The 13,555-nt window shown below is 38.5% G+C and overlaps 1 long non-coding RNA gene across 1 annotated transcript; it reads left to right on the top strand.

Annotated features, from left to right (window-relative positions):
• Positions 1–11,836: 11,836 nt before the first annotated feature.
• LOC105379435 (uncharacterized) lies at positions 11,837–12,787 on the top strand. Its single transcript, XR_950634.2, has 3 exons — positions 11,837–12,045; positions 12,135–12,351; positions 12,462–12,787. It is a non-coding gene; the product is annotated as an uncharacterized LOC105379435 (long non-coding RNA).
• Positions 12,788–13,555: the final 768 nt, after the last annotated feature.

Here is a 13,555-nt window from a genome sequence, read left to right as displayed (position 1 = left end):
CAACCATCTGATCTTTGAGAAACTTGACAAAAACAAGCAATGCGGAAAGAATTGCCTATTTAATAAATGGTATTGGGAAAACTGGCTGGCCATACGCAGAAAACTGAAACTGGACCCCTTCCTTACACCTTATACAAAATTTAACTCACGATGGATTAAAGACTTAAACATAAGACCTAAAACCATAAAAACCCTAGAAGAAAATCTAGGCAATACCATCCAGGACATAGGCATGGGCAAGGACTTTATGACTAAAACACCAAAAGCAATGGCAACAAAAGCCAAAATAGACGAATGGGATCTGGTTAAACTAAAGAGCTTCTGCACAGCTAAAGAAACTATCATCAGAGTGAACAGGCAACCTACGGAATGGGAGAAAATTTTTACAATCTGTCCATCTGACAAAAGGCGAATATCTAGAATCTACAAAGAACTTAAACAAATTTACAAGAGACAAACAACCCCATCAAAATGTGGGCAAAGGATATGAACAGACACTTCTCAAAAGAGGACATTTATGCAGCCAACAAACATATGAAGAAAAGCTCATCATCGCTGGTCATTAGAGAAAGGCAAATCAAAACCACAATGAGATACTATCTCAGACCAGTTATGTGATGCTTTTTTGTTTGTTTGTTTGTTTTTGTTTGTTTTTGTTTTTTTTTTTTTTGTTTTTTTGAGACGGAGTCTCGCTGTCGCCCAGGCTGGAGTGCAGTGGCGCGATCTCGGCTCACTGCACACTCCGCCCCCCGGGGTTCACGCCATTCTCCTGCCTCAGCCTCCCGAGTAGCTGGGACTACAGGCGCCCGCCACCTCGCCCGGCTAATTTTTTTGTATTTTTAGTAGAGACGGGGTTTCACCGTGTTAGCCAGGATGGTCTTGATCTCCTGACCTTATGATCCGCCCGCCTCGGCCTCCCAAAGTGCTGGGATTACAGGCGTGAGCCACAGCGCCCGGCCATGTGATGCTTTTATAAAGCATGCTTTCTTGCGTGCCGCTATGATTGTAAGATGTGACTTTGCTCCTCCTTGCCTTACACCGTGATTGTGAGGCCTCCCTAGCCAGGTCAAACCTCTTTCGTTTATAAATTACCCAGTCGCAAGTATGTCTTTATTAGCACTGTGAGAACAGACTGATACATCAGAGATAAAGAAGGACATGCTGTAATGTTAAAGAGACAATATATCAAGAAGGTATAAAAATTATAAACCTATGTGCACTGAACGAAATTTTTCCAAAATCTACAAAGCAAAAATTAAAGGTAGAATTAAAGGTGAATTAAAGGTAGAATTCAACAATAATAGTTGGAGATGGTAATCATAGCAGACATCAGTATCTCACTTTCGATAATCAGAAAAGCTAAATAGATGCTAGCAAGAATATGGAGGATTTGAGTAACAGTATAAACTAGCTAGATGACAGTACAGTACACCCAAAAGCGGAACATTACTCTCAAGTGCACATGGAACAGTTCCTAAAATAGATCACATGCTAGGCCAAAAACCAAACCTCAAAAAAAGTAGAAAATGATTGTTCTTTGATCAAAGTGGAATTAAATTAGAAATTAAAAACAGAAAGAACTTTGGGAAAAGCAGAACTTATAAAAATTAGCTACATACTTCTAAATAACCAATGAGTCAGAGATGAGATCATGATGAAAAATAAGCAGAAGAAAGGATATAATAAACATTGAAATAGAAATTAAAGAAATAGAAAAAATGGTAGAGCAAATCAACAAAACCAAGAGTTGGGTCTTTAAAAAGATTAACAAAATTAACAAACTTTAGCTACACTTACAGGGAGAAAGAAAGATTCAACTTACTAAAATTAAGAATGAAAGAGGGACATTACTATTGACCTTATAGAAATAAAAAGAACTATTAAAGGTACTATGAAAAAAGAATGTCAACATATTAGATAATGTTGACGAAATATCATTTCTAGAATAATATCTACCAATCATTTAAAGAATTAGTGCCATTCTTCACAAGCTCTTAAAAAAATTTTAATATTTATTACAGTATTACTTATAATAGCCAAAAAGTAAAAACAACCCCAATGTTAATTAACTGATGAATGGATAAATACAATATGGTGTATCATATATCATATATATGATATCATGTTATTGACCAACAAAAGGAATGAAGTACTAACACATGCTGCAACCTGGGTGAAAATATTATATTCTTGTAAATATCATGCTGCATAAAAGAAACCAGAACCAAAGAGTGCATTTTGTATTATTCCGTTTATATAAAATCTCCCAAACAGGCAAGTTTAGACAGTGGTTGCCTAATGATGTAAGGTGGAGGAGGAATGGGAAGTGACTGCTAATGGGTACTGGGACTCTTTGAGGGTACCAAAAATGTTATAAAATGAAACTTTGGTGATGATTGAACAACTGAATGAATATATTAATATGTATGAAACATTTTAAGTGAGTAAATTACACAAAATTTAAATTATGGCTAAACAAAGCTGTTTTTAAAAAGTGTACCAGCAGCAGAAAATTAGTTATAAATTAATCAGGATTAAACAGTGCTCATCTTGATTAAGCTTATAATGGATGATGATTATTTTACTTGTTTTATTCTGTAGTAAACAGTTTGAGATTCAGTGATTAAACAAAGGACTACCTTTACACTCTACTTATTTTTTAAGTAAAAGAAAAACATTATTAAAAAGTGTATAAACTGGTTCATGTTTATGTTAACTATCTTACCCTTCCTTCTCTTTTACTTCCAATTACTTTGGTTATGTTTCGGGTTTTATTTGATATTGTCTATGGAACCTGTTAATCATTCTTTAAAGGAAAGAGGAGGTAGGTAGGGAATAAAGTATGGAGCCATCCAAAAACGAAAAGATCTGGGAAGATGCTGTGCTGATTTAATGTTAAGAAATGTTCAGAAAGTAAACCCTTGATGTCTTGGTTTTTATTTTAGAAATATTATCTTGTTGACAATATACTAAAGTGCATACAACTGATTTAAAATAAAAATAAGGTATATGAAAATATGTAAGATGCAGCTGAAGCAGAGGTGAGAGGAAAATTTTTATTACTAAATGTTTATATTAGAAGTGATAAAGTCCTCAACCAACTAAATTCCTACCTCAAACAACAAACAAAAACAAGAAATAAAAAGAGCAAAATAAGACCAAATCAAGAAGCAGCATATTCTGGTATAACTTTCAAATTATCCTTTAAAAATAGTCATAAGTTCAGAATCTGGTGTACAAATTCTATATTATGTCTCCTTACCTTTGAAATGCATTTTTTTTTTTTTTTGAGAGACAATCTCGCTCTGTCGCCAGGCTGGAGTGCGATGGCACCATCTCGGCTCACGGCAACTTCCGCCTCCCGGGTTCAAGCAATTCTCCTGCCTCAGCCTCCGGAGTAGCTGGGACTACTGGAACGCGCCACCACATCCAGCTAATTCTTGTATTTTTAGTAGAGACGGGGTTTCATCATGTTGGCCAGGATGGTCTCCATCTCCTGACCTCTTGATCCGCTCGCCTTGGCCTCCCAAAGTGCTGGGATTAAAGGCGTGAGCCACCGCGCCTGGCCTAAAATGCGTTTCTTTTCCTTGATATAAATGTATTATCTGTACTACTATGAATACTGAAATGCCATAATTGAGGCTTTTTTTTTAACTTTGCAAATGGAATAAAGGAGAGAAGGAAGGATGAGAGTCTCCTGAGATATTTAGATAAATGTTAGAGAAAAGAAAAGATTCAAGTTGATATTCTGATAAACCTGATAAATCACATGGACAAATCTGACATTTATGCGAGTAAACGAAATGGAAAACAATATAACTGGGTGTAAATAAAGAAGGAGATAAAAAAATACGAAGTTAAATAGTCCCTCATATTGGTCACAAGGCCAAATCAGCTGGCTCAGAATGTCATTTACTGCAGAAGGCCTCACTGAATTTCCTCCTTTAAGGAATGACTTTGTTCCTAGGAAATCTACACTAGTGTATAGAAATAAAGGGGCATACTGTCTGCATCTTGCTCTTAGATAATTCAGAAAAATGTGTGTGTATATCTATATCAATACCTATCTAGAATAAACAAGTGTGATGAAATGTTAACAATTGATAAACCTGGGTAAAGGGTAGGTATATGGGAGTTCTTTGCATATTTTTTCAACTTTTATGCACATGCGAAATTATCTGCAAGTGAAAATGTTTGTAAAAATTAAAAAACATACCATTTCAAAACAGGCTGTATTTATATAAGAAGTGCCCAATGTTTTTGCTTAATTTCTTTGTGGTAAGATTTTAGTCTTCCAGGAAAAGTTTCATATTGGTTATTATTGTGAAAAATAATGAAGTGGTCTGCTTCTAATTTTTCTAAGTTCCCTTTTGAATAACTAAGCATCTACACCAAATTAAAGATACTTCTCTATAATTTTTCAAAATTCAAAAAGGATGTCTCATAAAGTAAGAAAATAAACTGTGGTTTGTTCCTCCATTGTTGTTAATTTGCAATGTCCCACTTATCTCTGATGGGATATCAGTAAATTTACTTGCCTTATTGTACTTGTTCCTTGATGTATTTCTAATGATTAATTAGAAATAATTACACATTTGTCCACTTTGGAAAGTAATGGACGTGAAGGGGGTGTGTGTGTGCACTTGTATGGACTCACACATGCATAGGTACACACACACGTATTGTGTTTTCTTGTTTTGTTTTGTGCTTTGATTTTTATTTTTAAATTGTAAATTGACAAATCGTAGTTGTGTATATTTATGGAGTACAAAATGGTGATATAATTTATGAATACAATTTGGAATAATTATATCAAGCTAATTAACATCCACCACCTCAAATACTTGTCATTTTTAATGGGGAATGCATTTGAAATTTACTCTCTTAGTGATTTTTAAAATGTAGAATTCTTTACTATGTACTATTTTCACCAAGTTTTGCAATATATCTCAAAGAAAAAAAACCCTTATTATTCCTTTTGTATAAATGAGGCTTTGTACCTTTTGTCCAATATCTATCCGTTCCACCCCGCACCTCCAGCCTCTGCTAATGACCATTCTGCTCTCTGCTTCTTTCAGTTTGATTGTTTTAGATTCCACATATAATTGAGAACATGAAGTTTTTGTCTTTTTTGGCTTCGCTTATTTCTTTTAGCATAACATTTTCCAATGTTGTTGCCAATGAAAAAATGATTTTTGTAAAGGCATGTAATTGTAACAGTCTCTTATGATCCTTTGTATTTTTGTGGTATCAGTTATAATGTCTCCTTTTTCATTTCTAATTTTATTTATTTGAGTCTTCTCTCCTTTTTTCTTAGTCTAGCTAAAAGATTATTGGTTTTATATTTTTAAGAAACTTAGTTTTGTTCATCTTTTGTGTCATTTTCTAGTTTTCATTTCACTTATTTTTGCTCTGATCTTTATTATTTTATTTCCTTCTGCTAACATTGGAAGAATTTGATATCCTTTTTCTATTTCCTTGAGGCATAATACTAAGTTGTTTATTTGAGATCTTTCTTCTTTTTGCTCTTGATGTTTATTGCTATAAACTTTCCTCTTAGAAATGCTTTTGCTGGATCTCATAAGTTTCGGTATGTTGTGTTTCCATTTTTGTTTTTCTCAAGATATTTTTACATTTCTTGTTTAATTTTTTCATTGACCTATTGGTTGTTCAAGAGCATGTTGCTTAATTCTTTTAATTTCCATTTCTTCATTGACCTATTGGTGGTTCACCACCATGTTGCTTAGTTTCCACGTATTCGTACATTTTCTGGAATTCCTTCTATTGTTGGTTTCTAGTGTCATATCATTGTTGTCTGAAAAGGTACTTGATATGATTCTAATATTAAATTTGCAAAGATTCGTCTTGTGGTCTAACCTGTTGTCTATCCTGCAGAATGTTCTATGTGTCCCTGAGAAGAATGTGTATTCTGCTGCTGTTGGGTGAAGTTTCTGTATGTGTCTATTAGGTCCATTTGGCGTAAAGCGTCCTTCAAGGTTAATGCTATTTTCTATCTTTTTTTTTTTTTTTTTTGAGACAGAATCTCGCTCTGTCACCCAGGCTGGAGTGCAGTGGCGCGATCTCGGCTCACTGCAAGCTCCGCCTCCCGGGTTCACGCCATTCTCCTGCCTCAGCCTCCCCAGCAGCTGGGACTACAGTCGCCCGCCACCACACCTGGCTAATTTTTTTGTATTTTTAGTAAAGACAGGGTTTCACCGTGTTAGCCAGGATGGTCTCAATCTCCTGACCTTGTGATCCACCTGCCTCGGCCTCCCAAAGTGCTGGGATTACAGGTGTGAGCCACTGCCCTGGTCTGTTTAGAAGTATTTTTAAAGAATTATTGCACTTCTGTTCGGATAGAAAAACAAAAATACATTTTAAGAATATATATTTATATGTATGAAAATATAAAATTTTGAAAAGTTGAATATTTCAAGCCAATTATGTAGATGTCCTTGTCCTTCCCTGAGCTGCTGACTCACGTTCCATGAAGCGGGATGGGTCTCACGGGCCTGTCAGGATGCAGGCTGTGATGTGAAGGCCGCTCGACGCTCACAGGATTGGACGGGTTTGTGAAGGAATTTGCAGCGAGGCTTAGCTCCTTAACATTTCCTTTGAGCAACATCAGTGCTTTTGACGTTTTGCACTACTGTATAAAACTGTAAGTGTATGCAGAGATGTATGTTTCTGAATAAATCACAAAATTGACAAGCAACTGCCATGCATTGTTTTTTGTATCATAGCTTACTGATAAAGTACAGACTGCAACATTTACTTATTCAAATACCTTTAAAGATCTGGTATTTTTTTGCTTCTACTTCCCAGGAATTTGACCTCAGGGACATTTTCTATTATTTCCATATCTATTGAAATGAACTCAAATCAAAAATGAGGATGTTTCATTATACATTTAAAATGTGAGTTTTCCCATTTAAAGTCACACAAACTGAGGTTACTATGAAAAAGATTTAAAATTGTGCAGAATGAATCACTGAAAAATTAGTTTATTCTAAAGATCATATATTCAGAGTAAATATATTTAAATTTTATTACTTTCAGAGTAAATATATTTAAATTTTATTCAATTTACTCTTTGTCAGCAAATTAGTGAATAACATTACTGATATCTTAGATGTTTGTGGACAGAAAGAGAATAGAGGTAAACATCATGACCCTCAAAGAGCTCAAAATCCTAAGATTTTTATGGGCAGCCCCAGAGGTATAAAATTCAAAAGGACATTACTTCTCCATTCCTGATTAGGTATGCAATGTTCTGGGATTATGCATGGCTCTCGGATCCTTGAGAGTAATAATGACAGTGATCTCTGAATTAACATAGTTCAACTTTTATAATAATTATGGCCCTCAACCATGTGAAGTTTGTGGAGCACTGAGATTTCTTGGGGCGATTTTGTAATAGCTAATTCTTAACAGCAATGTTATTTCAGGCTTTTTGGCCATTCCCTGTTACAACTGCTGATCTTTTATTCCTATAATGGTACAGAATTCTTTGAGAAAAATAAATTCATCTTTTCATTCATTTAAGGAAAAATTGTCAGCACGAGCCTATGGCTATAATGTTCTCCATCATTTAAAGAATAAAAGGAATAATCTGGTTGAAATTGAATTATCTAAGCTTATATATGGTTTTGATTCAATGGTTAACGTGCATTTTTAACAAGTGATATGGTTTGGCTGCAACATTTACTTATTCAAATACCTTTAAAGATCTGTTTTTGGTTTTTTTTTTTTTGTCTGTACTTCCCAGGAATTTGATGTCAGATGCATTTTCTATTATTTCCATATCTATTGAAATGAACTCAAATAAAAAAAGGGGATGTTTCATTACACACTTATTAATGTGTAATTTAAGATTAATGTGTAATCTTGTAATTCCCATAATCCTTATGTGTCAAGGGTGGGACCAGATGGACATAATTGAATCACAGGGGTGGTTTTCTCCAAGCTGTTCTCGTGATAGTGAGTTCTCACAAGATCTGACGGTTTTATAAGGGGCTTCTTCCTTCACTCAGAACTCATTGTTTCTGCTGCCACCCTGTGAAGAGGTGCCTTTGGCCATGATTGTAAGTTTCCTGAGGCATCCCCAGCCATGTGAAACTATGAGTCAATTAAACTTCTTTTCTTTATAAATTACCCAGTCTTGAGGAGTTCTTCATAACAGCATGAAAACAGACTAATACAGTAAATTGGTACCACAGACATAGGGTGCTGTTATAAGGATACACTAAAATGTGGAAGTGACTTTGGAACTGGGCAACAGGCAGAGGTTGGAATAGTTTGGAGGGTTCAGAAGAAGACAGTAAAGGCTGGGTGTGGTGGCTCATCCCTGTAATCCCAGGACTTTGGGAGACCGAGGCAGGTGGATGACCTGGGATCAGGAGTGTGAGACCAGCCTGGCCAACATGGTGAAACCCCATCTCTACTAAAAATATAAAATTAGCTGGGCATCATGATGCATGCCTGTAATCCCAGCTACTTGGGAGGCTGAGGCAGGAGAATGGCTTGAACATGGGAGGTGGAGGTTGCAGTGAGCAGAGATTGCACCACTGCATTCCAGCCTGGGCAACAAGAGCGAAACTCCATCTCAAAAAAAAAAAAGAAGACAGAAGAATGTGGGAAAGTGTGGAACTTCCTAGAGACTTGGAGGACTTGGAAGACAAGAAGATGTGGGAAAGTTTGGGACTTCCTAGAGACTTGAATGGCTTCTACCAAAATGTTGATAGTGACATGGAAAATGAAGTCCAGGCTGAGGTGGTCTCAGATGGAGATGAGGAACTTGTTGGGAACTGGGATAAAGGTGATTCTTGCTACGCTTTAGCAAAGAGACTGCAACACTTTGCCCCTGCCCTGGAGAGCTGTGGAAGTTTGAACTTGAGAGAGATGATTTAGGGTATCTCGTGGAAGAAATTTCTAAGCAGCAAAGTGTTCAAGAGGAAGCAGAGCATAAAAGTTTGGAAAACTTGCAGCCTGACAAGGCGATAGAAAAGAAAAACCCATTTTCTTGGGAGAAATTCAAGCCAGCTGCAGAAATTTGCAGAACAAGGAGTGGAATACTAATTACCAAGACAATGAGGGAAATGTCTCCAGGGCAAGTCAGAGACCTTCTTGGCAGCCTCTCCCATCACAGGCCTGGAAACCTAGGAGGGAAAAATGGTTTCATGGGCCCAAGACCCCCTGTTCTGTGCAGCTTTGAGACATGGTGCCCTGTCTCCCAGATGCTTCAGCTCCAGCCACAGTTAAAAGGGGCCAAGGTACAGCTCAGGCCATTGCTTCAGAGGGTCCAAGCTCCAAGCCTTGGAGGCTTCCATGTGGTGTTGAGCCTGTGGGTTCACAGAAGTCAAGAATTGAGGTTTGGGAACCTTCACCTGGATTTCAGAGGATGTATGGAAATGCCTGGATACCCAGGCAGAAGTTTGCTGCAGGGGCAAAGCCCTCATGGAGAACCTCTGCTAGGACAGTGCAGAACGGAAATGTGGGGTTGGAGCCCCCACACAGAGTCCTCACTGGGGTACTACCTAGTGGAGCTGTGAGAAGAGGGTCACTGTCCTCCAGACCCCAGCATGGTAGATCCACTGACAACTTTCACTGTGCCCCTGGAAAAGCCACAGACACTCAATGCCAGCCCATGAAAGCAACCAGGAGGGGGTTGTACCCTGCAAAGCCACAGGGGTGGAGCTGCCCATGGCCATGGGAGCTTACTTCTTGCATCAGTGTGACCTGGATGTGAGACCTGGAATCAAAGGAGAACATTTTGGAACTTTAAGGTTTAATGACTGCCTTATTGGATTTCAGACTTGCATAGGGCCTGTAGCCCCTTTGTTTTGGCCAATTTCTCCCATTTGGAATGGGTGTATTTACCCAATGCCTGTGTCTCCATTGTATCTACAAAGTAACTAACTTGCTTTTGATTTTACAGGCTCATAGGTGGAAGGGACTTGACTCAGATGAAACTCTGGACTTGGACATTTGGGTTAATGTTGTAATGAGCTAAGACTCTGGGGAACTGTTGGAAAGGTATGATTGTGTTTTGAAATGTGAGGACATGAGACTTGGAGGGGGGCCAGGGACAGAATGATATGATTTGGCTCTGTGTCCCCACCCAAATCGCATCTTGAATTGCAGTTCCCATAATCCCCAAGTGTAAAGGGTAGGATCAGGTGAACATAATTGAATCATGGGGTAGTTGCCCCCATGCTGTTCTCATGATGGTGGGTGAGTTCTCATGAGATCTGATCATTTTATAAGGGGCTTCCCCTTTGCTCAAAACTCATTATTTCTGCTGCCACCATGTGAAGAGGTGCCTTCTGCCATGATTGTAAGTTTCCTGAGGCTTCCCTAGCCATGTGGAACTGTGAATCAATTAAACCTCTTTTCTTTATAATTACCCAGTCTTGGATATTTCTTCATAGCAGCATGAGAATGGACTAATACAAGATGTGAGTGCATTTCCAGTTAATAAATAGGTAATATTTTCTGTGTTTTCTGCTATGGTAATGAATTGCATTACAACTTCACTAAAGAGAGAAATCACTCACAATTTGAGACCTAAACCAAGAGCTGAAGAAAGTGCAAAGAGGCCTACAATAATTCCTATAAGTTATTTCCAATGGAAGGCCTCTGTGTATGTAGTACTGTAATAGAAAAACCTATGGAATAAAAAGAATGCATTCTCTGAGTAATGTTATGCAGTTTAATTAACCCTTCTCTGTATATTTTTGGCAGCTGTCATCTGTATTATAGGGATAATACAATTAATGGTACTGTCATGATTACATAAGTGAGATGAGTGAGGCATTTTTTTTGTTTTTTGTTTGTTTGTTTGTTTGTTTTGAGACAGAGTCTTGCTCTGTCGCCAGGTTGGAGTGCTGTGGCGCAATCTTGGCTCACTGCAACCTGCAACTCCCTGGTTCATGCGATTCTGCTGACTCAGCCTTCTGAGGAGGCCATTGTGTGTGTGTGCTGAGGGGTTCCCTTATTGGGCAAAATGTACAGGGTAGCAAGGGATTTTTGGCAGCAAAGGATTGTGATTGGGTGGGGAGGAGTAGTAATATTTCATGAGAAGTAAGTTGAGAAGCAAACAAGTGCTGTGTGTTTTCATTAAGCAATAGGGTCGACACAGCATGGGAACATACACATCAAGTGGGCGGCCTAACACTAAATCAGAAGTAGCCTGGATGAGTTGGAAGTCATGGCCACTGTTTGTAGGCCAGGAGGATATGCTTTAGCACTGGCTGGTTTTGTGGGAAAACAGAGAGAAAGACATGGCTGAGTCTCAGGGTGCTCAGAGAAGGCCACAGCCTTGGGGTGCCGTGGTGACCACAAACACTTCCCCCATCCCATACCAATCTTTAAGAGCCTTTTCCTCCTTAAAGGCCTGTCACTTAGCAAAGAGCTTTCAATGAACCCTCCCCTCTGGGCCACTTGTTGGATTGCAGCCAATCAGTGATGGAGGGCTGGACACAACTGTGGGATGCTGTGATTTGGTTTGGCTCCTGGGTCTAGAGTGCTCTGGGGTCCACTGTACTTCTGGGATAAAACGCCAAGGCCATGACTCTCTTGCTAATTTACAAACAAAAGATTGAGGGCTAGCTAAACAAGGACAGAGAGGAAGCAGCTTTCTGTAAGACACACCCACCAGTGTGCCCTGTCAGTTTACCATTGCCATGGCAACACTCAGGCATTACCACCCCTTTCAGCAACAATGACCTGATGACCCAAAAATTACCACCCTTTTCCTAACAATTTCTGCACAAACCACCCCTGAATCTGCATGTAATTAAAAGTAGGTATACATATGACTGCAAAACTGGGCTCAGCCACTACTCTCGGCACCCTGCCTATGGGGCAACCCTGGGAGCAGTCACTGAGCTGTGACCCCACAGGAGCTGCAACAGTGTTGCTTTGATAAAGGTGTTTTCTTCCACCTTACCACTGGCTCGCCCTTGAATCCTTTCCTGGGTGAAGCCAAGAACCCTTGCAGGCTAAGCCCCACTTTGGGGTTTGCCTGCCCTGCATCAGCATCAGGTTTGTTTTTTAAACTTGTAAAATAGTTTTTGTGATTCTGTCATGTATTTTGCAGTCATGAACTAACATATTTTTTCCTCAATTGTCAGTTGCAGTTTCCTCAAAGATCATTATAAATACTCCTTAACCTACAAAGTTTGGCAGTCACAGCCTGCTCTTCGAGGAACAGCCTGACTCACCATCAAGTGGCTCCTCAGGTGGTTTTACTTCCCATGTTTCCCATGTGAGGTACTATGCCTCAGTGATTCCTGGCAAAACTAGGATTCTCTGTTAGTATTGTGCTAACTTTGGAGTGAGTTTCTTTTGGTGAGTAATAATTTTAGTCAATGATACTACTGATTATTTTATCTTTTTTTAGGCTTATGATGAATGCTTGATTTATGATTAATACGTTTTTCACTTTTACACATTTCAAGGAAGGAAACAAGAACAGACAGAAACACAACATACTTCATGAAACCACATTTTAACATCCTGGCCGAGTATTCATCACTCAGCAAGATAGAGAGACATAAACTATTTCCAGCAAGAATACTTCATAAATGATGAATAGAAGAAAAATAGAAGTCCTAAAAATCTTGCAGAACTGTCTTAATTTACTAATATATTTACACTGTATCCTAAGTCACTCTCTAGCTTCTTGCTCTAAGCATATGAAATGTAAGAGCTAATGGGAACCCCAGTGCCTGTATAAATAACAAGAACCAGCATGTCTTTATTTATGGCAGGGAACACTCTACAACCTGGGACAAATGCCACTCTGCTTCAGTTTGGGGAAGCTCCTCACTTTACCATCCTGACGTTTAATAAATGATTCAAAGGCAACTACAGATGCAACCTGAGCCACTGGATGGGCTTTTGTAAATAAAGTTATCTCACCTGGCATTCATTACAGAGAAAACAAGAAATAAGGCACTACATGTCATATTTGTCTAGATCCTATACCTATTTAGGTTCACATTAAAATGAAGAGAAAACAACATAGGCTGAGAATCAGAAAACCTGAACTCTGTCCCAGCTCAGCCACTGGCCACAGGGAATTAACCAATCTCTTTGAACGTCAGTTTCTTCATTAAGCATCGTAGAGAATGTCAAAACCAACTTTATAAATACTGTCATTCCAAAACCACACAATTCAAATATAAATAATCTTTATAAGGTAAAACAAAAATGTACATAATACTTTACATAAACATTTTTAGAATAAGTTTATTATAACTCGATAAGCAAAATAATCCAAACCTTTATACATTTCTACAAGGATAGTCACGTATGTCAATTTTTCGGTTTCCTCTCGTGCCTATTTTGTCTCCTGAGCCGGCCCCTTTCCAGCTGACACGTGTGCTCCGTGTTCTCCCACAATAGCCTGACCTGGCCTGAGTCCACGCCCCTGTGAGCCTCCTTTCTTTGCTTACAACAGCAGCCTGCCTGATGTCAGTTATGGACTATTCTTTCTTTCAGCCTCATTTCAGGGTCCTCTGCCTCTTAGAGCTGCTGCTGTAGCTTAGCT

Source organism: Homo sapiens, chromosome 9 (genome assembly GCF_000001405.40).
Source record: "Homo sapiens chromosome 9, GRCh38.p14 Primary Assembly".
In the NCBI taxonomy this organism is placed as follows: Eukaryota; Metazoa; Chordata; class Mammalia; order Primates; family Hominidae; genus Homo; species Homo sapiens.
This window is presented reverse-complemented; position numbering and strand designations above follow the sequence as displayed.